Source organism: Homo sapiens, chromosome 6, assembly GCF_000001405.40.
Source record: "Homo sapiens chromosome 6, GRCh38.p14 Primary Assembly".
Classification (NCBI taxonomy): domain Eukaryota; kingdom Metazoa; phylum Chordata; class Mammalia; order Primates; family Hominidae; genus Homo; species Homo sapiens.
In genome coordinates this window covers 21958295-21985616 of record NC_000006.12, presented here as the reverse complement: position 1 = coordinate 21985616, position 27322 = coordinate 21958295, and the positions used below count along the sequence as shown (strand labels likewise).

Here is a 27322-nt window from a genome sequence, read left to right as displayed (position 1 = left end):
ACAAAAAAAAAAAAAGCTAATTCTCAGTTGTCTGCAGTAACCTAAATACTGCAAGAAATAAAATGATATTGAATACCTTCAACTCTCATTCAATTTTAATAAACTTTCATTAAGTGCATATTAATGAAGTACATGGTACTGTACAATTTCATCTATATAAATTCGTGTGCTCCCACATTCAAGGTTTTCTCATTTTTGTCTTTGTCTACCACGCTGACATACAGGAACCAAGGAAATACAGCTACCAGTAATATCTACAATGAACATCATGAAACTGAAATGCCTACCTGACATTAAAAGAACATTTGATAAGAAAATTTACTTTTTTATCCTAAGAATTACTTTTTTTTAGTAAATATGACAATTTTGAAACAGCAATCATTCATTGAATGTTTTCTATCTGTCACTAAATTCACTTACTATCAGCACTATAGAGTAAAAATGGATCTTCTCATTTTATAAATAAGGAAAGATAGACTCTTAAAGTTTACTTTGCCAAAGTCATGCCACTATTAAGTGGCAAAATGAGGATTCAAACTCAGATCTCTAAACACGACACACCTTCCACTATCTCTGGCCCTCCACACTTTCATTCCTACGCTTAAAAGGCATCTATTATATCCTTTACCAACCAAACCTTCATGGCAAAATATCCTTTCTAAGTACATTTACACATTTTTTAAAAATTCTCAATATTCCTTCCTGGCTCCTATTTAAAGTTAAAGTTTGTTACTGAAGCTGAAGAAAAATCTTACAAGAATGAAAGAAATGCAAGTGGTATTCCAAGTAACAATATGTGCATGCTCCAGTGGGAAACATGAGAAGAGCATCTGCCAAATTCATTTTGGCCCCATTTGATACTATCTCACTGATCTGGGTCCAACTTACATTTGTTTCTCTCTTTCTTTCCCTCCCCTATTTCCTCGTTGTTCCAGAAGCATATAAAAACCATAGAAAAGAAGCTGGATAGAATTTCCAAGAATACACTGAAAACACTGTCAAATAAGAGAATGGCTATCTAGTCCAAGCATAACTTCATTTCAATTAAGAAAAATCTAAAATGCTAAAACAAATCTTTCTGGCATCAGGAAAAAAAAAAGAAACAACATTATCTAAATGTTGATTATAAAAACCAATAGGTTTGTGGGGAGAAATTCTTAAAAGAACTAATTAAATATGCCTTTTAATCTGTACTTACGCATAGGGCACTATAATTTAGTATGAGTCAGCCTTCAAGCCGGATGTACTTTTTAATTCAAACTTATATTTAAAGTCTTTAATTATGTTTAATTCCACTTCCAGCTTTTGTTACCCGGCACTGATCCCTATCTGTTCAACCCTGATGTAAATGAATCTCAGATTTTTGATACTTACAGTGAAACACATCATTTTTGAAGATCCATAAACTTTACCGTTCTTGACTTCTATCTGCATGTGAAATCTTTAAAGTCTAATCTATGGAACTGGTATTTTCTTTTTTAAAAGAAACAGTTCTCAATCAGTCAAGCTTTTAAAAAATCAAAGTAAAAATGGCTAATTGATTTATACTTTTAAAATCACCCAGGCATTTTCCCCCTATGGTGATATTTTATAGCATCCCTATTTCTTTCCTTCCAACTTCTTGGTGAATTAAAGGACAGTACTGTATTAGTACAACAGTAAAGAAAAAATAACTTCATAAAAAGTCAAACACGGGTGGGTGCGGTGGCTCATGCCTGTAATCCCAGCACTTTGGGAGGCCAAGGCAGGCAGATCACCTGAGGTCGGGAGTTTGAGACCAGCCTGACCAACATGGAGAAACCCCATCTCTACCAAAAATACAAAATTGGCCGGGCATGGTGGCACATGCTTGTAATCCCAGCTACTTGGGAGGCTGAGGCAGGAGAATCGCTTGAACCTGGGAGGCAGAGGTTGCGGTGAGCCGAGATTGCACCATTGCACTCCAGCCTGAGCAACAAACACGAAACTCCATCACAAAATAAAATAAAATAAAAATAAAAAGTCAAACACATAGGCTAAAAAATCCTGTCTTCTCCTTCTAACTAGATATCAACTAACAAACAATACTAATGAATATTTTCATTCTTGTATTTAGGGGCTTAGGTAATAATGCTATGAAGTCTAGTCTATAAGTCTCCCACCATACCACTCCTGACAAAAAGATGAGACTAAATAACTGTGTCAGGCATTGTGTTAACCTAGGAAATACCACAGGAATATTTTGGTACTCTATCTAACAGGTTCATACTCTAATGGAGGAGATAAAGTTAATAGACAATGATAATTCAGTGTGATGATGGATGCTACAAGGACAGGGTGCCTGAGAAATATACAGGGGGGATTAATATGGTTTGGCTGTGTTCCTACCCAAACCTCATCTTGAATTGTAGTTCCCACAATTCCCATGTGTTATGAGAGAGAGCCGGTGGGAGATAATTGAACCATTGGGACAGTTTCCCCCATACTGTTCTCATGGTAGTAAGTCTCAGAAGACCTGATGGTTTTTTATACAGGGAAACCCCTTTTGTTTGGTTCTCTCATTCTCTCTTGACACCGCCATGTAAGAAGTGCCTTTCGCCTTCCACCATGATTGTGAGGCCTCCCCAGCCATATGGAACTGTGAGTCCATCAAACCTCTTTTTCTTTATAAATTACCCAGTCTCAGGTATGTCTTTATCAACAGTGTGAAAATGGACTAATACAGGGACATTTAACACAGCCTGAAGAGAAAGGATTTCAGGGTGTTCAGAACAATTCCCCAAAGGAAGTGATGTCCAAGAGAGACTAGGAAATAAGTAACCACTTTGCATCCACTAGGATGGCTATATTTTAAAAGACTGACAATAATCAGTAATGGGAAGGATATAGAGGAATTGGAAACCTCGTACATTGCTGGTGAGAAGGTAAAAGGGCACAGCCACTTTGGAAGACAGTTTGGCAGTTCCTCAGAATGTTAGGCATAGAATTACCCTATGACCCAGAAATGTCACTCCTAAATATATAACCAAGAGGACCGAAAACATACATCCACACAAAAACTTGGACATGAATGTTCATAGCAGCATTATTCTAAACAGTCAAAAAGTAGAAACAATTCAAATGTCTCTCAACTGATGAATCAATGAACAAAATATGCTGCATTCCAAAATGGAGTATTATTCAGTCATAAAAGAGAATGAAATGGCAATTCATGCTACCACATGTATGAACATGGACAAACCTTGAAAATTTATACTAAGTGAAAAAAGTCAGATACAAAAGGTTACAAATTGTATGATTCCATTTACATAAAATGCCCAAAACAGGCAAATCCTTAGATACAGAAAGTAGATTAGTGGTTTCCAGGGACTAAGAAGAAGAGGAAAATGGGGAGCACCTACTAATGGGTATGGGGTTTCTCACTGAGGTGATGACAAAATTCTGAAATTAGATCATGGAATTTTAGATCATGAAGAGTCATGCAATTTTGTGAATATACTAAAAACCACTGAATTCTACATGTGAAAATGATACATTGTGTGGCATATGAATAATCTTAATTAAAAAAGAGAAAAAATAATAGTGAATATGTGAAAATATTGAACAAAGGCATCAAAAGGAAGAAAAAGAAGGGGGAAGTGACAAAAATGATAGCTGATAAGGAGAAAGGAGAAACTGAGGTGGGCTCCAGCACAAGAAGGAAGACACAGGTTCCAGAGCAGGAAGAGGAGGTAGGTCTCAGAGCAGGAAGCGGGAGGAAGATCCCAGATCAGGAAGGAGGAGGCAGGTTCCAGTGCAGGAAGGAGGAGGCAGGTTCCAGAACAGAAAGGAGAAGGCAGATCCCAGAGTAGCAAAGAGGAGGCAGGTTCCAGAGCAGGAAGGAGAAGGCAGATCCCAGAGTAGGAAGGAGGCGGCAGGTCCCAAAGCAGAAAGGAGGAGGTGGGATCCAGAGCAGGAAGGAGGAGGTAGGTTCCAGCACAGGAAGGAGGAGGCAGGTTCCAAAGCAGGAAGGAGGAGGCAGATCCCAAAGTAGTAAAGAGGAGGTGGGTTCCAGAACAAGAAAGAGGAGGCAGGTTCCAGAGCAGGAAGGAGGAAGCAGTTTCCAAAGCAGGAAGGAGCAAGCAGATCCCAGTGCAGGAAGGAGGAGGAGGTAGATCCTAGAGCAGGAAGGAGAAGACAGGTTCCAGAGCAGAAAAGAGGAGGCAGGTTCCAGAGCAAGAAGAGGGAGTTGGTTCCAGAGCAGAAATGTGAAGGTGGATTTTGGCAGTTTCAGAGCAGGAGGAAGAAGGCAGTTCCCAGCTCAGGAAGGAGGAGGCAGGTTCCAGGGCAGGAAGAAGGAGGAGGCAGTTTTCAGAGCAGGAAGGAGGAGTCAGATCCCAGTGCCAGAAGGAAGAGGCAGGTTCCAGCTCGGGAAGAAGTAGGTGGCTCTAGAACAGGAATACAGAGGCGAGTTTCAGCAGTTTCAGAGCAGGAAGAAGGAGTAGCAGGTTCCAGAGCAGGAAGAAGGAGACAGATTTCAGGGCAAGATGAAGGAGAAGGCAGTTTCCAGAGCAGGAAGGAGGAGCCAGACCCCAGTGCAACATGAAAGAGAAGGCAGGTTCCAGAGCAGGAAGGGAAGGCAGATCCCAGTGCAAGATGAAGGAGAAGGCAGGTTCCAGAGCAGGAAGGAGGAGGCAGACCCCAGTGCAGGAAGGAGGAGGAGGAGGCAGTTTCCAGAGCAGGAAGGAGGAGGCAGATCCCAGTGCAAGATGAAGGAGAAGGCAGTTTCCAGAGCAGGAAAGAGCAGGCAGACCCCAGTGCAGGAAGGAGGAGAAGGCAGATTCCAGAGCAGGGAGGAGGAGGTGGGTTCCAGAGCAGGAAGGAGGAGGCTGGTTCCAGAGCAGGAAGGAGGCGGCAAATCCCAGTGCAAGATGAAGGAGAAGGCAGGTTCCAGAACAAGAAAAGGGAGGTGGTTCCAGAGCAGGAACACGGAGGTAGGTTTTGGCAGTTTCAGAGCAGGAAGGAGGAGAAGGCAGGTTCCAGAGCAGGAAGAAGGAGGCAGGCTGCAGAACAGGAAGAAGGAGGTGGTTCCAAAGCCAGATGAAGGAGGTGCGTTTCAGCAGTTTCAGAGCAGGAAGAAGGAGGTGGTTCAGGAGCAGGGAGGAGGAGGTGGTTCCAGAGCAGGAGAATAAGGAACAAAGTGGGACTGGGATGTGGTTTGCCCTTCACTAGTGACAAAGCACTGAATGTGAGTACAGGTTAATTGTGCAGGCCTGGAGGCAAAATTTGAGGGAGTTGACATCTAAAGCTTCTTTTCTGACTGGCAGTAACTGGCAACCTGGAGGGGTAGGAAATTTGAGGTGAATGGAGGACGTTAAGAACAACCTCTGAAGAATAGGAGACACAGACCGATGAGAAAATAAGCCAGTTATTGGAAGGTTCCCACCATTTAAAAACAACAACAACGTCCATGTTTAACACTACAAAATAATTTACTTAGCCATCAAATGAATAGGAGCATCTGAGAAGAGATTTTCTCCACTGTCCAGTCTCCTGGCTCCAGGCAGCAGGCTTACTGCCTCCTGGTTTTTATAGGAACATTTGCATCTTTTTTGGTACTCTCCTATTCCGTTCCCCAACTGCTCCAGTCCTGCAGTAGACTGTTTCTTAGTTTATTTGTTTTCCTTAGATGTTAAGATTATTTCAACAACTGGGTACTGTAGATATAAAAAATGGATATGAGGCCAGGTGCGGTGGTTCACACCTGTAATCCCAGCAATTTGGGAGGCTGAGGCAGGAGTTTGAGACCAGCCTAGGCAACATGCTGAGAACCCTGTCTCTATTTTAAAAAATGAAAAAACTTAGCTCGATGTGGTGGCATGTTCCTGCCATCCCAGCTCTTTGAGAGGCTGAGGTGAGAGGGTCACTTGAGCCTAGGAGTTTAAGGCCGTGGTGAGCTAGGATCATGCCACTTGCACTGCAGCCTGAGTATCAGAGTGAGACCCTGTCTCCAAAAATAAAATAAAATAAAAATGGATTTGAAGATGCTTATTATAAAGCTTTCCATAACCACAAGAGGAAACGAGCTTTTCTCCTTATTCATTGTATCTTATTTTTCTGGGTTTTTTTGTTGTTTTTTGTTTTTTGTTTTTTTTTTGAAAGAAGTCTCGCCCTTGTCACCCCAGGCTTGAGTGCAATGGCTCGATCTTGGCTCACTGCAACCTCCGCCTCCCGGGTTCAAACGATTCTTCTGCCTCTGCCTCCCAAGTAGCTGGGATTAAGGCGCCTACCACCACGCCCAGCTAATTTTTGTATTTTTTAGTAGAGACAGGGTTTCACCATGTTGGCCAGGCTGGTCTCGAACTCCTGACCTCAGGTGATCTGCCCGCCTGGGCCTCCCAAAGTGCTGGAATTACAGGTGTGAGCCACCGCGCCTGGCCATTTTTCTCTGTTTCTATTAGTATTTCATAATTTTTTCAACATCAAGAAACCAGGATTCTATTTGATATGTTCTAGTTAAGACATGTTAATGATCTTTATTTTCTATGCTTCAGTAATGAGCAATTCACACTTAAATGAATAAAATTAGCTTTTACCTTCAGCTGGTAAAGTTGACCCTCAAGTCTGAGCTGAAGATTTTCTCAGAAACTTTCAAATCAAGATCTAGATCTCCACAGATAAGAATAATGGAGTGACTCCACCAGTAGATTTTACCTACAGAAAAAGCAATAATTTATTAGAACTTTGTATGAAGGAAAGGTGCTGTGTAGTTATTACTGAATCATGTAAACATACCAAGTCTCCAAATAGTACTGAAGTTTTTTATTTCTACTCATTAGGCAAATACATACTAGTTAACATTTTTTGAAAGCTTCCTATGTTGCTGTATGTAACTACATTTGTCTCTTTTTTTTGTTTTGTTTTTGAGATGAAGTCTCGCTCTGTGGCCCAGGCTGGAGTACAGTGGTGTGATCTCAGCTCACTGCAACCTCCTTCTCCCAGGTTCAAGCGATTCTCCTGTCTCAGCCTCCTGAGTAGCTGGGACTACAGGTGCGCACCACCATGCCTAATTAATTTTTATATTTTTAGTAGAGATAGGGTTTTGTCATGTTGGTCAGGCTGGTCTTGAACTCCTGACCTCAAGTGATCTGCCCGCCTTAGCCTGCCAAAGTTCTGGGATTACAAAAATGAGACACCGTGCCTGGCCCATATTTGTTTCTTATCATTGATGTCATTTTGCGGATGAAGAAAATGGAACACAGCTAGTAAATGACAGTCACAATTTATACCCAAGGATTCTGGCTCTAGGTTCTGAGTTCTTAATCACAGAACAACCTTAACACACTGTCTTGACATAGGTCCATATACTCTAGGAAAAAGTTTTAAAACTTAGATGGTATGAGGAATCCTATATGGTTTATTCCCATTTGATTGCTAGTGCTTCTCAAAAATATGTAAATGTCATCTAAAATTCAAAATACTATAGTCAGGGTGAGATAGTGACAAGAGACTGAATCAAGGGTAGACAACCTGGGTATTTGAGACAGAGGACCAAGCAATGGGCTATGTGTTCACGACATATCTGAAACTCTCCTGTGCCTAAAAACTTAGGCTTTTGGGCTAGATGACCAGAAATGTGCTTTTAGTTGTAAAAAAGAAGCATACACTGTGAAACCCCTGACCTCCTCCATCACCAATCTGTTACCTTCTTTCTGAGTAGTCATTCATTACCTATTCTTCTAGGCTTTAGTCGAAATCTCTCTCTTTTCTCTCTCTGCCAACTGGTCTCTTGTTTCACTTTACACTTTGTTAATGCAGGTCTATTCTGGACAATTTAGCATTTCTTAGGATAACAGACAATTCGATTTGTTCATTTGAACCCTTTTAGAAACAAAGCAAAGCATAAAGAAATAAAAATGCATAATGCTCAATATTCCCTAGGTCTTATATATAATAATATAGCATGAGCTTGACTGGAAGCCCTTTCAGGAAAAGGAACAGGCTGGAGAGCCCGGAGCAAGTGGTAGGATGCTGGGTGCACTGTGGACAACACTGATGAGCTGTACATCTCCCTCCTTCAGGGATATCCCATGTTTGCTAACTCAGTGTGCTGCATACATTTACTTACACTTGCAAATAAGTAAACATGTTGAGATTCAATATGTGAACTTGAAACAAGGCCTGCAGTCACTATATTTTCTAGGTATTTCTGCCAAAGTAAACATTTTTCCTTGGATCTTGATTCTCTGATTCTCCAATCTTGTTTTCTTTGTATTTTGCTTTGATCCTGTCTTGTTTCTGCTGTTCTTCTTGAACGTTTAAAATGTGTGCCTTTGCCTGTATAAAGGGTAAAGAAACTCTAAGGTGTGCTTGGGCGTGGAAGCTGGCTTTGCAAATAAGAAAGCATCTTAAAGGATCAGTACACAGTGTTAGTATCCAAAATCAATGGCATTACGGCCTTTCTATCATCAGAGCGTGAGAAAGAATCAAACTTCCAACAAATTGCCATAGGAAATTTCTCTTAGCCAGTTTCTCTAGCCTTTGCTACACAATTTTTTTTTCTTTGCTTTGGAAATGTCCTTTTTATTTATTTTTTCTTTTTTTTAAATTTTACTTTAAGTTCTGGGATACATGTGCTGAACATGCAGGTTTGTCACATAGGTATACATGTGCTATGGTGGTTTGCTGCACCTATCAACCCGTCATCTAGGGTTTTTTTGTTTTTTGTTTTTTGTTTTGAGACAGAGTCTCGCACTGTCACCTGGGCTGAAGTGCAGTGGTGCGGTCTCGGCTCACTGCAACCTCTGCCTCCCAGGTTCAAGCAATTCTCTTGCCTCAGCCTCCCGAATAGCTGGGATTACAGGCGCCCACCACCACGCCCGGTTAATTTTTTGTAACTTTAGTAGAGATGGCATTTCACTATGTTGGCCAAGCTGGTCTCGAACGCCTGACCCCGTGATCCACCCGCCTCCCAAAGTGCTGGAATTACAGGCATGAGCCACTGCACCTGGGCTGTCATCTAGGTTTTAAGCCCTGCATGCATTAGATATTTGTTCTAATGCTCTCCCTCCCCTTTCCCCCAACTCCCTGACAGGCCCCAGTGTGTGATGTTCCCCTCCCTGTGCTACACAAATTATATCCATATTGTAACAGTAACAGCAGCAGCAGCAATAATATATAATGATGATAATAATAACGACATAGCATTTACTCTAAGCCAGTACTCTTCTCAGCACTCTACCGGTATTAATCAGATGGTCTGCACAATAGCCACATGAGATAGGTGCTATGGTTACCTACATTTTATAGATGATGTAAGAAACAGAGAGGTTAGTTCACTTGCTCAAAGCCACACACTGGTAAGTGGTGGAGGCAGGATTTGAGCTCAGGAAGCATGACTCCAGAACACCAACTCATAATCCCATTAATCTAAAATGCCTCATAAATATCTAACAATGGCCTTAAGACACTCCAAGTTTCCAACTGCTTTCCCAGTCAAATCTGAATGAATTTCCGTAATTACACAAATGATATCACACATCCAGAAAAGTCCCTATCTCATAAAACAATATTCTTCTCTGCACAACCACCACAGAAATCCAGAACTAAAAGTCTAATTTAATAATTATACCCCATAGGATTCTTACAAAAATCCAAAATAAAAAAGAATTCAGAAACTATTCCTTTTAACTTTGTAAAATTAAAACTAAAAGCTAAGCCTTCCTGTACAAATTATGTCTTACTTTTTGTGTCAAAAGAATTTCAAGCTTACAGAAATGTTGCACAAGCTGTTCAAAGAACTCTCATGTATCCTTCACTGGGAGACCCCAATTCGAGTTAGGCCAACTTTCCCAGTAATGCTCTTTCTAGTCAAAGGATCCATTTCAGGATCACACTTTCTATTTAGTTGTCATCGCTCTTCCATCTCCTTTGATCTGGAATAGTATCCTTGACCTTCACAACCTTTATATTATGGAAGGCAGCAGGTGAATTATTTTGTAAAACGCCCCTGAACTAGGATTAGAGATATTTTCTCATGAAAAGATCTGAAGATTGCATTGTTTGGAAGAGATGCTGTGTTCTTCTCATTGCATCCCATCAAGTGACATAGAACACTGTGTGTCCCATCACTGCTGATGAGAACTTTGATCACTTGAGTAAGGTTGTGTCTTCCAAGTTTCTCCAGTAAAGCTCCTGTGTTGCCCCTTAAAATGCACAAGGATTTGTGGACAGATACTTTATGATTATATAAAGATTCTGATCCTCATCCAACTTGTATTCATTATTGTTAGCATCCGTTGATGTTTCTTACCTGGATTAATTATTACTATGATGACTGCCAAATGGTAATCTCTCCAATTCCAGAATTCCTTCTGTATATCACACAGCGTTCTATTTTAAGGAAGAACTTTCTCCTCTCCCCACATTTTTATGCATTTATTTATTTATGCAAGTGTAGATTCATGTATTTCTTGTTTAGTGGGATGTAATCTGTAACTATCATTGTCATTCTGGTGCTCAAATTGTTCCAGGTTTCACATGGGTTTAGTGAGAATCCCTTGAAGCTGACTGCTGTGTCCTTGTGGCGTCTCCCATTATTCTTTCAGAGTTTCTATATCTTCTGTCACAAGACATTCAGGGCTCATCTTGTACCTTTTCTTTCCCAGCTCTAGAACCAGACATTTTTTTCAAAGACCCATAGTTGCTTTAAGCAAAAACTGGAATTTAGAAACTACAATCTGGGTAGCAGGTGTGCTCATATTTACTGGGCTGTCACTACATCCTGGCCCTTTCAGTGAACAGAGTTAGGAAATGGGTGTGTGTGGGGGGTGTGTGTGTGTGTGTGTGTGTGTGTGTGTATGTGTGTATGTGCATTTATTCATAGACATGCATACACTTTAACGTTTATATTATTTCTACACTGAAATTTCTATATCTATGAAATTTCTACATATCAAAATCCACACGTTCACAATGAAACCTTAAATTCCTATCCACAATACAGGGTTCATTCTGGCTCTCCCCTTTTTTATATCTGTAACTATTCTCCAACAGTAAGAAGTCTGGCTCCCATTATCTTCAGTATATTTACTTATTTGCCCTGATAGGTCTCCTTGCTGAGACCTGCCTAATGGCTTTTTGACAAACGGAAGGTAGAAAGGAAGAAGGAAGGAAGGAGGGCCGGCAATACCAACTTTTTAAGAATTGGTAATCTATTTATGAACAAAATATAATCAGGCTAAATTATCAACACAACAGCTCACTCCCTGGCCATAGCAGATACCAGAGTTTAAAGCAGTCTTCCAATGGCTTGTCATCTTTCAATGTGTATAGGACACACAATTGTTCACATCTTTACTACAAAAATTTTTTGATGTATATATTATTGGGTAACAAAAGCTTTAAGAACCATGTGTGGCTCTTTCAAAACAGATCAAAGACATTCTAGTGAATCCTTACTGAACACCCATCCCCATTATAGTGAAGATGGGGAAAGTGGGGCCCAGAAAGGTCACAGGTCTTGCTCAAGGTCCCGGAATTAATCAGTAGCAAAGCACAATCCAACCCTGGAGTTTCTGACTTTCCAGATCATTATGCAATGTTACTTTTGAAAATGTTTTGCAAAAGTAAAACACAATTTTTTTTCCAGACAGGGTCTCACTCTGTCACCCAGGCTAGAATGCAGTGGCACAATCATAGCTCACTGCATCTTGGAACTGCTGGGATCAAACAGTCCTCCCTCCTCAGCCTCCCAAGTAGCTGGGACCACAGGCACATGCCACCATGCCCAGCTAATTTAAAAAGAAAAAAAAAAAGAATTTTTTTTCTGGAGAGATAGGGGGTCTCACTATGTTGCCCGCGCTGGTCTCAAACTCCTGGCCTCAGACAATCTTCCCACCTCAGCCACCCAAAGTGCTGGGATGATAAACATGAGCCACCGTGCCTGATTATAACATACAATTTTAAAATATGACCACTGAGAAGTACGTAATGTCACAAGCACCCATAAGAAAAATGTCTAAACATGAATGTAGCAAGCTTACTTCAAATCACTAGAAGAAACAGTATCTTCCATGAGAACATTAATAAAAACACTCAAATGCTTAACTATAAAAATAGTTCATATAACCAGAAACTGTTCCTTACTTTAGTATTCTGTAATTTCTCCAAGTCATCATAATTAGCATCCAGCAACAGAGTATAGGTAAGAAGAAATGCAAAATGGACACAATAAGACCTACCTACCTCATAAGCACTGGGAAGATCAAGACAGTACTTGTGAAAACACTACTCCTGAGGTGTGCTATACAATTACAAGTGGCTCCTTTCCCTTTGACGTACATAGACAGCTTCTGTTCAGAAGCTGGTTGAACCAGCATGGTAAGATGCTTTCCACTCTGGCTCCAAGTTCATTCACATTAAGCGTATCACTAAGCATCATTCAAGCTTTTGGGGTCTTAGTTTTCCCTGAAAGAGGAATTAAATCCCTACCCTGCCTATACCTGAGGAAGACAAGCACCTCTGGAGTGGGGGTTATGAGGCTGGGCTTTGTCATCAGTATAAATTCTAATCCTGCTCCACCATTACTGGGCTGGATGGCTTTGGGAGGGAGTAGGTCACTGAACTTCTCTAAGCCTCTATCTCTCATCTGTAAAATGGAGACAATGACACCTAAGTTCTCAGAGCTGGTGTGCAAATTAAATGAGAAAAAAGTATGGGAAGTGATTCACACAAAGTCCAGTGCCCCATTTGATAAAGGAAGACGCCCCTATTACCACCACCTTCATCATGCTACCACCATCACTACCTCCATTATCGGAGTCATCCCTATCACCTTCAGTCCTTTGAGTAGTTCGCAATGCGCAATACCAGTGGAAAGTGAGAGCTATTTCAAATGTGCTATGGTCATTAGTATGGATGGAATGCTCTGGCCCCCAAAATTCCTATGTTGAAATCCTATCCCCTGGTGTGATGGTATTAGGAGGTGGGGCCTTTGGGAAGTGATCAGGGCATGAGGGTGGAGTCCTCATGAATGGAATTAGTGCCCTTATAAAAGAGACCCAGAAAGCTCTCACTCACTTTCTGCCATGTGAGGATACAAGAAGTTGACAATCTGCAGCCACGAAGAGGGCACTCATCAGAATGCAACCATGCTGGCACCCTGATCTCAGACTTTCAGCTTCCAAAACAATCAGAAATAAATTTCTCTTGTTTATAAGCAACACACTCTAGGGTACTTTGTTATAGCTGTCCGAACTCACTCAGGCAGTCATAAATAAAATAAAGCTCATTTTATATTTGCAAGAGAACATTTAGGCAACTCCTAAAGTACTTCCTTGTCTTTCTGCATTGGGCCTCATACAATGCTTAAGGATGGTCCCAGTTTCTAGCTATTCTCCCCCAAGATATTGGATATAGTCAGTTCCCCCAAACTTCTTGGGTATAAGAGATGAAATTCATCACATGAAATGTGAGAGTTTGATACTTTACCACACAGGAGATAATTAAAGATGCAATTTCAGACTAGAATAAAAAAATAAAGCAATGAGCTACTTTTACAAGAAGGGGGAAAGTGATAAAACTCTTAAAAGATTTAAAACAGATTTAAGGGCATAAACAGTCTTCAGGCAGGCCAAAAACGGTGGATATCTTTTCTTAAAGCATAACTCCTGGCAAACTGAACATTTTATTACTTAGGTTTTTAAACTGTTTTTTTCCTTCCCAGAAATATTATACACACACACACACACACACAACCTGGTGTTCAATGAAATACCAGGTGCACTGTGGCTTTCACTCTGTTTTAAGAGAAAAAAAAATCTATTGTCACTCATGGGCTTCAGCCTAGCCTGTCAAGCAGGAATTAAAATCTCTTTAAAAAGAAGCTTTGCATGGTTCATGTGTCATGCTGACATGAGCTGGATCAGCTTACAGAAGGGGCCAGAGATAAGGCATCCAAAGGAGGTTACAAGTAAGCAGGCCCCAGAAAAATTTCTGATTTCTTTACTCATCTATCCTCCTCACCCCTCCCTCTCCCCGCTTTATAAAAATTGGTTCAATGTGCAATACAGAAGAAAGAGCTATTTCTTTCCCTTTATTAACAACAGCACTAGATTCTGAAATTAACAAATATCTACCTCCTTCCAATTTCTAAGGATCTCTTAATTTTTCTTCGAAAATCATAAAAAGCATATCAGTTTACCCCACTATCAGGCCTTTGATTTTATTAAGTCCAAAGCTACAAGGCCTGTAGAGCAGAGGACTGTTTGGCTTATTTTAAAAGAATGAATCAAATATTAGCTGTAAATTGGTCATAAATGGGGCCACTTAAGCCTCTACAGAAAGGAATTGCAAGGACTTGGGATTAAAATTGCAGGAAGCCAAAAAGAAAATTGAGGACAAGGAAATGACTGATGGGTTTGGTGCTATTATCTCTGAGAATACTAAGGACACTGAAGCTTTGAAAAAAAATTACATAGGTGACCTTGAGAACAAGTCCAGACTGAGAAGTCAGCTTGGTGTAGCTTCCTACAGGGGTGGAAGCAGAGCAGGCTGAATTCTTCGTTTCCAAATGGATGATAAAAGATGTTTCAGATAAGCAGTTTTGATTTCCTTTTAGCATGCGGAGCTGCAAGCTGCACTTCCAAGAAGAATAAATGTCATGCAGCCCTTGTAAAATGCTCCATCTTCAGTAGCTGTGGTTTGAAACTCAGAAATTATCCTAGAGGATTTCATGACTTTGGGGCATATAAGATTGGAAATTAAAAATGGACTTTATGGACTACAGCCTTTTTGTCTTTATCCTCTGTCACTGCACACAGAACAGGAAGCCCCGAGCCATTAAGGAGACCTGACTTATACTTCCCGAAACCCTGCTTCAAAATGAGAACTGGGAGCAGATCCTAGACCCCAGGGAATGTAACTAGCGCAAATTTCTCTACGCTTCAGCTTCCTGGAAGATGGATTTACTAACACATTGCTTTAGACCGGCGGTTCTTAAATTGGTTAATCTCAGGATAACCTTATGAATCTTAAAAAATTCTGAGGCAGGGCACAGTGGCGCATGCCTGTAGTCCCAGCTACAGGAGGCTGAGACGAGAGGATCGCTTGAGCCTAGTAGTCTGAGATCAGCCAGGGCAACATAGCAGGACCCCATCTCAAAAAAAAATAAATAAATAAGTTGTTGAGGACTTCAAAGTGCTTTAGTTCATGTACATCATATCTCATGATATAATTTATAACATTTATCATGATACAAATTAAAACTGATAAATGTTTAATATTTGTTACTCCTTAAAAAAGAATATATGGGCCAGGCACAGTGGCTCATGCCTGTAATCCCAGCAATTTGGGAGGCCGAAGCGGGTGGATCACTTGAGATCAGCAGGTCAAGACCAGCCTGGCCAACACAGAGAAATCCCTTCTCTACTAAAAATACAAAAATTAGCCAGGAGTAGTGGTGCATGCCTGTAATCCCAGCTACTCAGGAGGCTGAGGTGGGAGAATCGCTAGAACCTGGAAGGCAGAGGTTGCAGTGAGCCAACATTGCACCACTGCACTCCAGCCTGGGAGTCAGAGAGAGACTCCGTCTCCAAAAAAGAATTTATAACCCATTACTGTTAACATAAATAATATATATTTTTTTATAAGGGATAATTAGATTTTCCTAAAACATTTAGTGAGAAGAGTGGTACTGTTTTACTTTGCGTTTTTTTAATGCCCAGCATAACTGAAGATAGTTGCATCCAATCTGTTGTGGCATCATGTTTGGTTGATGTGTGTAGAAAACCCATTCCCACACAAATGCCTAGTTGGCAAATGCAGGATTGATGAAATAGCCTTTCAGATAATTGTGGATATTCTTTCTTTGATACTACACCCAAACTCAACAACTGGAAGTTTGTATAGGAATCGGAACACCTATCAGTGAACTTTACATACTCTGATATATTAAAACCCATTAATTTATCTAGCATTTTGAATGGATCTTTTACCAATATATCATTTTGTAACATCGATCATCGGTTGTTTAGGAAATAGCGACTTGCTGAGTTATACAGGGGTTCTGAATATACAGTGGAAAACTTCACTGTATACTTGTGAAAGAAAAAGAATGGAAAAAACAAATAACAACTTAGTATTGTTACGAAAATACATCAACACTGCAGATCCACTGAAAAGGAACCCCGGGGGTTTATGAACCAAACTTTAAGAACTGCTATTTAGGCCACCATGATACCCGAAAACAGTGACTCAAACTGAGAAGGGGGTAGTGGTTGGCCCAGTCATTGGGCCAACCTTTAAGGGTCCTTTTAGGGGACAGATGACATGAAAATCAAACATATCCCCAAATTGACTTTACTCTAAAACACGTGAGCTCTATATGGCTTCCAAGCTTTCTTTCAGACACCAGAAAGGTTATGACTCATTGGATTTGACATTGATCTCTAGTGCAAAAGTGCCCAAGTTTAAGCAACAATAATCACGATTTAGGCCAAAATCTAGATCTGAAAATAATATTTTATAACTAACAAGCCAGAATCATTTACTACCAATGTTTTTGTCTTTACTAAATTCTGAGGTTTAGTGGTTCCTCCATAATCATTATTTGTTAGAGACCCAGCTGCTACTAAGAGAATTTTAGATCTTTAATCATTAGACCCTAACTGTTAACCTACATCTTCAAATGTCAGCTCCTAAAGTAGGGACTTAATTGTCTGGCTTAATACTGTAGCCCCAGTTCCAGCACCTAAAAATCAGTGCCTGTTACCTGTTCAAAGCTCAAACTATATTTGTAAAATGAATGAATGACCTAGTTTGCATATAAATACCATTGAATAATCTAATGGCAACTATGATGATACTGTGTTCACCCTATTGAAAAAATGAATATAAAATCCAGCACCAGACTATACAGTATAATGGTATTTTAATGAATGAGGAAAAATAGATGAAGTGTTTATCTGTAAGTCTACTTTAATCAAAAGCCTTTAATTCACAATCATATTTTCAGTGAAGACCTCACACCCTTTACAAATTCAGATTTCAAAATCACATCCTCACTCTTTTTAACTCAATGAGATGCAGGAAGTAGCTGAAGAAGAATGAATTTCTGCTGTGGTAATGCTGCTGCCGCAATGCCACTTGATATTTTATGTAAGGAAAATAAATAAATAAATATTCTCCTAATCCTCCAGAGATCAAAATTCTGACAAAGGCTGGGCAAGAAACGATACTTGGACTGAAATACGCTCTTCTAAAAGGGTGTGTGTGTGTAGTTGCATGTGTGCATGGGCACATGGCAGTACAGGTCTCTCTGATCTTTGTTACAGCTGCATAAGTGAGTCCACTGTTCTTTCACTAAAAAAGAAAGAGACGGGCAAGGTATGGAGAGGTGGAAGAGAAGCCTAGCTTTACAAGTGCCCCAGTATTTCAGAAGTTTTGATCATTTGGATTATATAGGTTATTTTTTTCATAGCCCTGCTTGAAGAGAGAAAAAGTGGGCCTCCTTGGTGAACAGAAGTGACTGTTTGTGCAATAGAATTGATTATCTGTTCAAGATGGCTTATGCTGCATGACTATAAAAAATTGCAGGTGGCTTTGGTTACAAGGGAGCTATCAGTCATCCTGAACTATTGACACATTTTTATGTACTCTAGTCTCAAATCACTCACTAAGGTTACTTATTCATCCATGAAATCTAAAATTCGGAGTCCTACCAAAGGGAAAAGGGGAGATTTAAACTGAAAAGTCTACCCTCCCTAGTCTCCTAACGACATCACATTTTAAAGCTTGCAGGAAGGGAAAAGCTAAATTCCCTTAAGCTCACCATCCCAGGGTATCACTGGTGTCCAGCTATCACCTTTGTTCAAGTGATAACTGAGAGAGCTATGAATCCCAGGGATTGGGAAAAGCTACTTAAACTCTTTTCACAGCTTTGATTTATGATGGGTCATGAACTAATAAAAATTATAGTGAATATTTATTTTTCTTCAGCATTGTGCTTGTCACTAGACAAATTGCAGATGAAATCAATTCCAGTCTGGTCCCAGGAGCTTAAAAATTACTAAGCACATGCTAACACTCCAGCATTAGAAGAGATAGTCAGATAACTACACACAAAGCCGAGAGTGCGAATCTCCTTCCAGAAAAGGATAAAACTGCTGCCAGCATGGCTGTTTGATTTCCCTACCACAAGACAGACCTCTGGGGAAGGCCCGCCTGCCGGCTAATGATCAGAGGCAGTAATTTCTAAGCACATAATGCTGGATTTCAGATGAGGCGGCAAATTGTTTTTATTGGCATTTTTTTCCTAATATAAAAATTCTCAATCTAGATCTAAATTAATGAATGTCGTTACATCTTTGTTCCACAGTTTCTCTCTTAAATTCCAAGCTCTATGCAATCCCTCTTTTTGTCCACTTTCCAAAAACAGCAGGCTTTCCCTAGGACTCGATGATATTCAACTCCATGAAGCAAATGAACCATTCTGCAAAGTGTTTTCCCTCTTTCCCTCCCTTCTACTGTCCAACATTTGGGCATTTTGTAGCTTATCAGAATCTTTATCCAGCAGGACCTTTATCAAGCAAAAATTTGGACTAGAAGGGGTAAAATCAGCTGTAAGAAGAACCCATCAAAAATATTATGGTATAGCGTGTTCTGTTGATTTTGTTCTTCTTGGTTATTATTGTCTCAAAATATATTATTTGTGGAGTTAACTGTTATTCTATGGAGTAGTCAGAGATGAAATATACTGAAATCCATATGGATTTTTGTAAGAGAAAAAGGAAGAACACCTCTTGACAATAAAATCAATGATAGTCGGTTTCTACTTCTATATTGCTATGAACTTTATGTCTTTATACCTATTTCTGGTACACTCCCCAGGATTTCCCATTTATTCATTCATATGTTCAGCATGTAATACATGTTAGACATAGTACTGGATCACAGAAATAGAAGTCTACAGAAATCACGGTCCCTGCACCCAAAAAGCTCAATGTAGTACTGAGTTTATATGTTCAAAACATTTTAAATTAAAAAAAAATTAATGAAAAAGAGGAAGGTTGGGAGTGGAAGAAAAAGGAAAAAAGGGAAAGGGAAAAAGGAGGAAATCACAATACTAAATTGGAAATACACACTTAACAGAAAGTAAAAACAGGAGGGAATCGCTGAGAACATTCTAGGGCAGGAGGATGTTTGAGGGGAGCTGCAGGCCAGACTTGGCTGAGAGTAGCAACTGAAAGGAGTCGTGGACAGAGACGCTCACCTACTCACCTGTTGAGTTAGGAGGGTAGGAATGCAGGAAGGACAGAGGCAGGAAACAACAGTTTGGAGAACTTCTGTCCCAGGCTTGAAACCCTCTTTATAACATTCCTCTCCGTCACCTTTCACATCTTCACAGTCACTAAGTCCTGACTTTTCTGGCTTTGAAATCTCACATCAGCCCCATCTTTTCTCTTCCTGCTGGTTCCGCTCCAGCAGGGGGACTTCCTTATGTACTGTGTACTGCAGAGGTGGCCCCCAACCGTGCCCTGTGCTCTACGTTCTCCACCTCCCAACCAGCATCCCACCTATCGGGCACTCTACTGTCTACACCATCTTCTGAAAATTGCACTTTGCATGGCCAGTTGTCTTCAGGTGAAAATCTGAATGCACTCACTTGGACTCAGTTCAGGGACCCCTATAATTGACAACAATCTCATTATCAAAGTTATGCTTCAGCGGTTGGCTCCATTTTAAGGCAGTGGTTTCATTGCCTGACAAATGGACAAGGCTATAAAATAGGGACCACTGGCTGGCTGGGCGTGGTGGCTCACACCTGTAATCCCAGCACTCTGGGAGGCTAAGGCAGGTGGATCACCTGAGGTCAGGAATTCAAGACCAGCCTGGCCAACACGGTGAAACGCCGTCTCTACTAAAAATACAAAAATTAGCCAGGCGTGATGGCACACGTCTGTAATCCCAGATACTCCAGAGGCTGAGGGAGTAAAATCACTTGAGCCTGGGCGGTGGAGGCTGCAGTGAGCCGAGATCATGCCACTGCACTCCAGCATGGGCAACAGAGTGAGACTCTGTCTCACAAAAATAAATAAATAATAAATAAAATAGGGACCATTAGATTAACTATCTTATAGGGTTGAAAATTAAATAAGGATGTATGCACAAACATAGCACAGTGCCTGGTACTTTGTAAGCCCTTAATGAAAGGGGTGGTGGGGGGAGAGGAGGAGAGGAAGGAGGAGGAGAAGAAGGAGGAGGGGAAGAAGGAGGAGGGGAAGAAGGAGGAGGGGAAGAAGGAGGAGGGGAAGAAGGAGGAGGGGAAGAAGGAGGAGGGGAAGAAGGAGGAGGGGAGGAAGGAGGAGGGGAGGAAGGAGGAGGGGGAGTGGTTTCTAATTTTAGATTCTCCCCTAAGATTGCCCTGCCTCCTTCTCATTTCCTCTCCTCCTCAAAACGTCCAATAATAATCTCAACTCCACCACAAAGCTCTTTTTAGCCCACAGTAATTCTCCCTTCTGGGAGCACAATTCAGTACTAATTTTATCCATTCATTATTAACCTGCCAAAATTTAATTCTCCTCTTAATAGAATCTCCTTTTACTTAAAGGAAGAATAACCATCCTCGTCGTTTACCCAAGCAAAATGATCACCACTCTGCATTCCACAAACGGGTTAATCTCAATATTAACCTGTTAAATTGCTCTCAAATACCCCCTTCTTTTCATTCCCATTTTCCAGAATATTCACTTAACTAGAGGTAAATTAATACAGATTTTCTTTATTCACTAAAATTACAGATAAGTCTCCATGGAGAACTTAATCATGATATTTGACATCACATGACTGTTGTAAAGATTAAATGCAATAATATGAGTAAAATTTGTAAACTATCTTTAAATGCAAACATATGACATAACATTGAGGTGTTTTCGTTATGGCTATACAAAATTTTCAGTAGCTTGATCAAAAACTTCTGATAAACAAGAGTTCAAGATGGCACAGGTTAACAGCAACTTGGCATTTGAAATTATTGAACATAGCATCAAGGTATCAAAACATGTAGGATTAGAGTGCCTTAAAGAAGTACTTCAACTTCTACTTCAATATAATGGGCTAGATTAGATCAGACCAACCTTCCCAACAGCGAGCTAAAATAACCAGGAAAATAAATCGTTAAAACAGCCTCTGCTTGAAGGTATTAGAGGACTATCAAGGTACAATGATTTGAAAGGTCATGACTGTGGAGAGAAGGGAGCCTGACATTTGACTTCTCTTTAACCCACTTGCTGACTCTATTGCAGACAGTGGAAAACTAAGTTGAACAGGTTTATTTCAGCTTCCGAGAGCAGGACAGGCAAAAATCAGAGTTCATAGCCTGCTAAGGGAAAAAGGTCCTGCAACCCCCACTTTCAGCTGTGATTCCAAAGTGCTAACCCAAAGAAGTAAGCATAAACCAGAAGCAGCCCTCACAAAGACTAAAGCCCATCTTCAGAACAGTTTAATCCCTGCACAGATCAAGGTGATCCATCCTTACCCTGTCCGCCCAGCCCCAGAAGAAAAGGAAATCCACATCACACACAGGTAAAATTGTCTCTATATTTTAATACACAATGCCCAGCATTCACGCTTATAAAAATAAGATGCTTATTTTATAAAATAAGAATTTTGCTTACAAAAATAAGAATTAACCAAAAAGCAAGAGAAAAGAAACAACAGAAACAGACCCATAGGGAAGTAAGATATTGTAGTTAACAGAAGGAGATTTAAGTATAAACTGTGATTTATATGTTTAATAAATCAGACAGCAAAACTAAAGGATTCCATGTAAAATGAATCAAAAGGAGCACTCTATAATTTGAAATATAACTACTGGTAGGAAAATATTCAAAAGATGGGTCCAGCAGCATATCGTATACAGCTAAAGAGATAAAAGAAAAATGAATAATATGTAAGAAAATATCCAGATTAAAGCATGGAGAGAAAAACAGAAAGTAACGTGGAACATAGTTTCATACACATTTAATTAGAATCCCAGAAAAGAGAAGAGAATTAGGTAAAAGCAATACTAAAGGGATAATAGGAGAGAATTTTCCAAAATAAATTTCTTCAAGCCGCAAGTAAAAGAAGTGCTACAAATATTGAGTAAGGTAAATAGAAGGAAATCTATACCTAGAACATTATAGTTCAAAGACAAATGAAATTTCAAAACTACTGGAAAAGAGAACATTTTTTAAAGCTGTCAGGGATGGCGGTGCTTATGGGAAGAGAGTTTTCAAATGGCAAATATAAGACTCTCAATGGAAACATGGTAGCCAGAAGGTTTGATATCAGAAATGATATCTTTAATGCACTGAAAGAAAATAATTTCCAAGAATTCTATGCCCAGTGAAAATACTTCTTAAAAATAAAGGCAAGATAGAGTCCTTTAAATAAAGTCAGAGGGATTGTATCACCAGAATACCTGAACTGAAGAAATTCAAAAACGACCTTTTAGGCAGAAGAAAAATAATCCCAGATGAAAGCTTGTTGTACCATTCTTCCCGCAATGAGTGTTTTTAATTAAGTAGATGTGACAAAGTCAAATTATAGATCTGAAGACTAAAGAATACCTTTAAGTTTCTACTTACTCTGTCCTGTTCAATATTTGCTTAAATAACTTGAATGGGCCGGGCGTGGTGGCTCATGCCTGTAATCCCAGCACTTTGGGAGGCTGAGGCAGGCAGATCACAAGGTCAGGAGATCTAGACTATCCTGGCTAACATGGTGAAACCTCGTCTCTACTAAAAATACAAAATGATATCTTTAATGCACTGTACAAAATAAGTGAAAAATAGCCAGGTGTGGTGGCTCACACCTGTAATCCCAGCACTTTGGGAGACTGAGCCGGGCAGATGATGAGGTCAAGAGATCGAGACCATCCTGGCCAACATGTTGAAACCCCGTCTCCACTAAAAATACAAAAATTAGGTGGGCGTGGTGGCATGCACCTGTAGTCCCAGCTACTTGGGAGGCTGAGGCAGGAGACTCGCTTGAACCCGGGAGGTGGAGGTTGCAGTGAGCTGAGATCACGCCACTGCATTCCAGCCTGGCGACAGAGCGAGACTCCATCTCAAAAAAAAAAAAACGTGAAAAATAAATGTTAAGGGAACTTAAAATGGGTCCTTTTATTTTTTTTTTTTATTCTTTTTGAGACAGCTAAATTGCTGGGCGTGGTGGCGGGTGCCTGTAGTCCCAGCTACTCGGGAGGCTGAGGCAGGAGAATGGCGTGAACCCAGGAGGCGGAGCTTGCAGTGAGCTGAGATCAGGCCACTGCACTCCAGTCTGGGTGACAGAGCGAGACTCCGTCTCAAAAAAAAACAAGTAAAATAAAAATAACTTGAATGGCATTTAATAGAAAATAAACACAGAAAATGTGGAAATGTTAATATGTTAACTAATATTTAAGATTCAAAAATATGCTCCAATATACCATAAAAACTAAATAACTCACTTTTATTGAAAAATTCTTTAGGATTTGAAGCTCCATATTTACCTACATGTTTCCTCAGAATACTCTGCATTCCAAACCATAAAATCTCTGTCCTTCCCTCAAGACACATTTTAGGCCAGGCGCAGTGGCTCACGCCTGTAATCCCAGCACTTTGGGAGGCCGAGGCAGGCGGATCACAAGGTCAGGAGATTGAGACCATCCTGATCAACATGGTGAAACGCTGTCTCTACTAAAAATACAAAAATTAGCTGGGCATGGTGGTGGGCGCATGTAATCCCAGCTACTCAGGAGGCTGAGGCAGAAGAATCGCTTGAACCCGGGAGGCAGAGGTTGTAGTGAGCCAAGATTACGCCACTGTACTCCAGCCTGGGCGACGGAGCAAGACTCCGTCTCAAAAAAAAAAAAAAAAAAAAAAAAAAAAGGACCCATTTTAAGTTCCCTTAACATATATTTTTCACTTATTTTGTACCTGTTTTTGTCTATGATAAACCAGGCACTGTGTTAATTTTTCGGGCAGGAAGATAGCTCACACCCATCATCTTCCCAGTACAAAAGCTGCCTGGCTATCTTTCTTGATTACACACAACTGAATGTATTCTAGTCCTCTCTGACTCCTAGAACGCCCATTATGGTCATTTATTTTGCTTGTTGGTTTTTTAATCTCATCTCTACACCACAACCTCCCTGAGACTCAGGCATTGATGATCTATCTACACCACTTAGCACCGTACTGTGCACGTCAGAACCACTGAATCAAATCTTGACAGAAGGGAACAATAAGCCCCAACTCACACAATGGGGTTTAATAGAGACAAATGGAAAATTCCTCATTCAAGTGTTTGAGAATGAGCCACATGGCTGGGGCACAGTGGCTCACACCTATAAACCTAGCACTTTGGGAGGCCAACATGGAAGGATTGCTGGAGCCCAGGAGTTCGAGGCCAGCCTAAGTAACATAGCAAGACTCCATCTCTACAAAAAATTAAAAAGTTAGCTGGGCATGTTGCCACATGCTGTAGTCCCAGCTACTCAAGAGGCTGAGCAGGGAGAACTGCTTGAGCCCAGGAGTTTTAGGTGGCAGTGAGATATGATCACACTACTACACTTCAGCCTGGGCAACAGAGTGAGACCCAGTATCAAAAAAAAATGAATGACATAAGCATCGGATGGGAAAGCTCTGGCTTGTGATAAAGAAAAAAAAAATACCTCAACATTTCAGCTAAAAAGCTCAATATATTTCATATATATATATATATATATATATATATATTTTTTTTTTTTTTTTTTTTTTTTTGAGACGGAGTCTCGCTCTGTCGCCCAGGCTGGAGTGCAGTGGCACGATCTCGGCGCCCTGCAACCTCCGCCTCCCAGGTTCAAGCAATTCTCCTGCCTCAGCCTCCCAAGTAGCTGGGATTACAGGCGCCTGCCACCACATCCGGCTAATTTTTTGTATTTTTAGTAGAGCGGGGTTTTATCATGTTGGCCAGGCTGGTCTCGAACTCCTGACCTCAGGTGATCCACCCATCTCGGCCTCTCAAAGTGCAGGGATTACAGGCGTGACCCACCGCACCTGGCCCTCAAATGTATTCTTTAGGTTCTTTAGGTTGAATCTCACTTCTAATGGCTTAGAACAGAATTAGCTCACATAAAGCCATTTTTTTATTCAAACACCCATAGAAACTAACTTTACCTATGCAGTTTGGACGTGGTCTCAAAAGACTTCTCAAAAGAGCACTGAAGGCAAAGCTACACCCGATGAGAAATGGTACTCAATAGAAAATCTCTTAGTCATTCGGCATCTGAGGTCTACATCATCCTATGCCTACTCTTCTTTCCTTTCATTCTGATTTTTGAAATAATGCTACTTTTGCCCAGGTTCCTGCCACTTCCCAACCAGTTCTAAATTTTCTTTGTTAAAATTAAACTTTGTGCTCTACTTTCTGGGTTATCTACTTAAACTTCGGGAGATAAAACTGTTTGAATAGCAAGTCCAGGTTTTACTACATGCTGTTTTTAGCAAGAAAAGAGATTCATTGCAATGGTCTGGACATTGGAGGTCTCACCTCCTTAGTCTCATTTTACTATGTTAAGTTTGTAATTCAAGCTTTAAAAAAAACATCAGACAACAACCACTCCATCTGACTTGGTTTTCTGGGACATGACTACTATAATATCACTTCTTTCTCTTGCCCTTTTATTCCTCCCCAAATGCTGTTCTCAGTGCTTCTCCCTTCAGATTTATGTTGTTGTTGTTGTTGTTTTTTTGAGATGGAGTCTTGCTCCGTCGCCCTGGCTGGAGTGCAGTGGCGCGATCTCTGCTCACTGCAAGCTCCGCCTCCCGGGTTCACGCCATTCTCCTGCCTCAGCCTCCCGAGTAGCTGAGACTACAGGCGCCCGCCACCACCCCGGCTAATTTTTTTATATTTTTAGTAGAGCGGGGTTTCACCGTTTTAACCAGGATGGTCTCGATCTCCTGACCTCATGACCCGCCCGCCTCATCCTCCCAAAGTGCTGGGATTATAGGTGTGAGCCACCGCGCCCAGCCTGTTGTTGTATTTTTAATGTAGGTGCATTCCTCCTCATAAATGAGAGTCACTGTAAGAGAACAGACAGAATCTGGGGTTTAAAGTTACACAGCCTTAGGTCTAATCCACATTACCACTGTTAGATGTCTATATGGTGTTAAGCACGTTGCCAAGATACTTAGCTTTCCTGGTCTCAGTTTCCTTATCTCTGAAGTGGGGCTAATAATATTAAATACTCAGGATTGTTTTCAGAATAGACCTAAATAATAAATTGAAATCTCTGTACATGGTATCTGATATGGTAGAAAAATAGGTACTTACATACATTTGTACATATATATATACATACATGTGTGTACCCTTCTATAGGCTCTTTCATTACCAAGAAGGAGTACCTCGGTATCAGTGCTTTCTAAGCAATTAAATTTACCTCTCTATATTAATTTCAAATTCCCTTTCTAAAAGCCAAGCCCTGCATTTGGCTTAAATATCTGAGTCACAGACCGGGTGAGGTGGCTCACGCCTGTAATCCCAGCACTTTGGGAGGCCGAGGTGGGTGGATCACCTGAGGTCAGGAGTTCGAGACCAGCCTGACCAACATGGTGAAACCCCGTCTCTACTAAAAATACAAAATTAGCTGGGTGTGGTGGTGCATGCCTGTAATCCCAGCTACTTGGGAGGCTGAGGCAGGAGAATTGCTTGAACCCAGGAGGCAGAGGTTGCAGTGACCTCATCTCTTTCCCCTTGACATTTCTTCTAGCAGTTTTGTACATGTCCTATGGCGGCTGTCCAGAGATCATTCTTGTTACCTTCCCACTCTTGCAGTTTTCTCACAGCCTCCCTTCCCCACGAAATATACACAAATGTGCGCTTATAACCTTGAGGATTAAAGTGACATTCCCTTCCAACATGCATGCTTCCTGTTTTTTCCTGAGATGCATCCCATCCATATCCATGACTCTGTCACTTTTATATACAAAGTCCTGGTCTATAAAATCATATCCTGTTCTTGGCATCATTTACAAAGGCAGTTGTTCCTTTTATACATCCTTTGTCCTCTATCAAAGTTACAATATTGACTCTCCTATCTTGTTTAAAAAGTGAGCTTGGGCAAGTGCAGTGGCTCACACCTAGAACCCCAGTGCTTTGGAAAGCTGAGGCAGGAAGATCACTTGAGCCTAGGAGCTCAAGACCAGCCTGGGCAAAATGAGACAGGCTCTATTTCTTAAAAAAAAAAAAAAAATTAATTAGCTGGGTATAGTGGCACGCACTTGTAATCCCAGCTACTTGGGAGGCTGAGGCAGGAAGACTGCTTGAGCCCAGGAGTTCAAGGCTGCAGTGAGCTGAT

General features: G+C 40.7%; 1 long non-coding RNA gene across 1 annotated transcript in view; it reads right to left on the bottom strand.

The window, feature by feature from the left end:
• Positions 1 to 27322, bottom strand: part of CASC15 (cancer susceptibility 15) — a 529408-nt gene that overhangs the window by 210204 nt on the left and 291882 nt on the right. Inside the window, exon 6 of the long non-coding RNA NR_015410.2 lies at positions 6555 to 6672. This is a non-coding gene — a long non-coding RNA (cancer susceptibility 15). The remainder of the gene's footprint in view (positions 1 to 6554; positions 6673 to 27322) is intronic.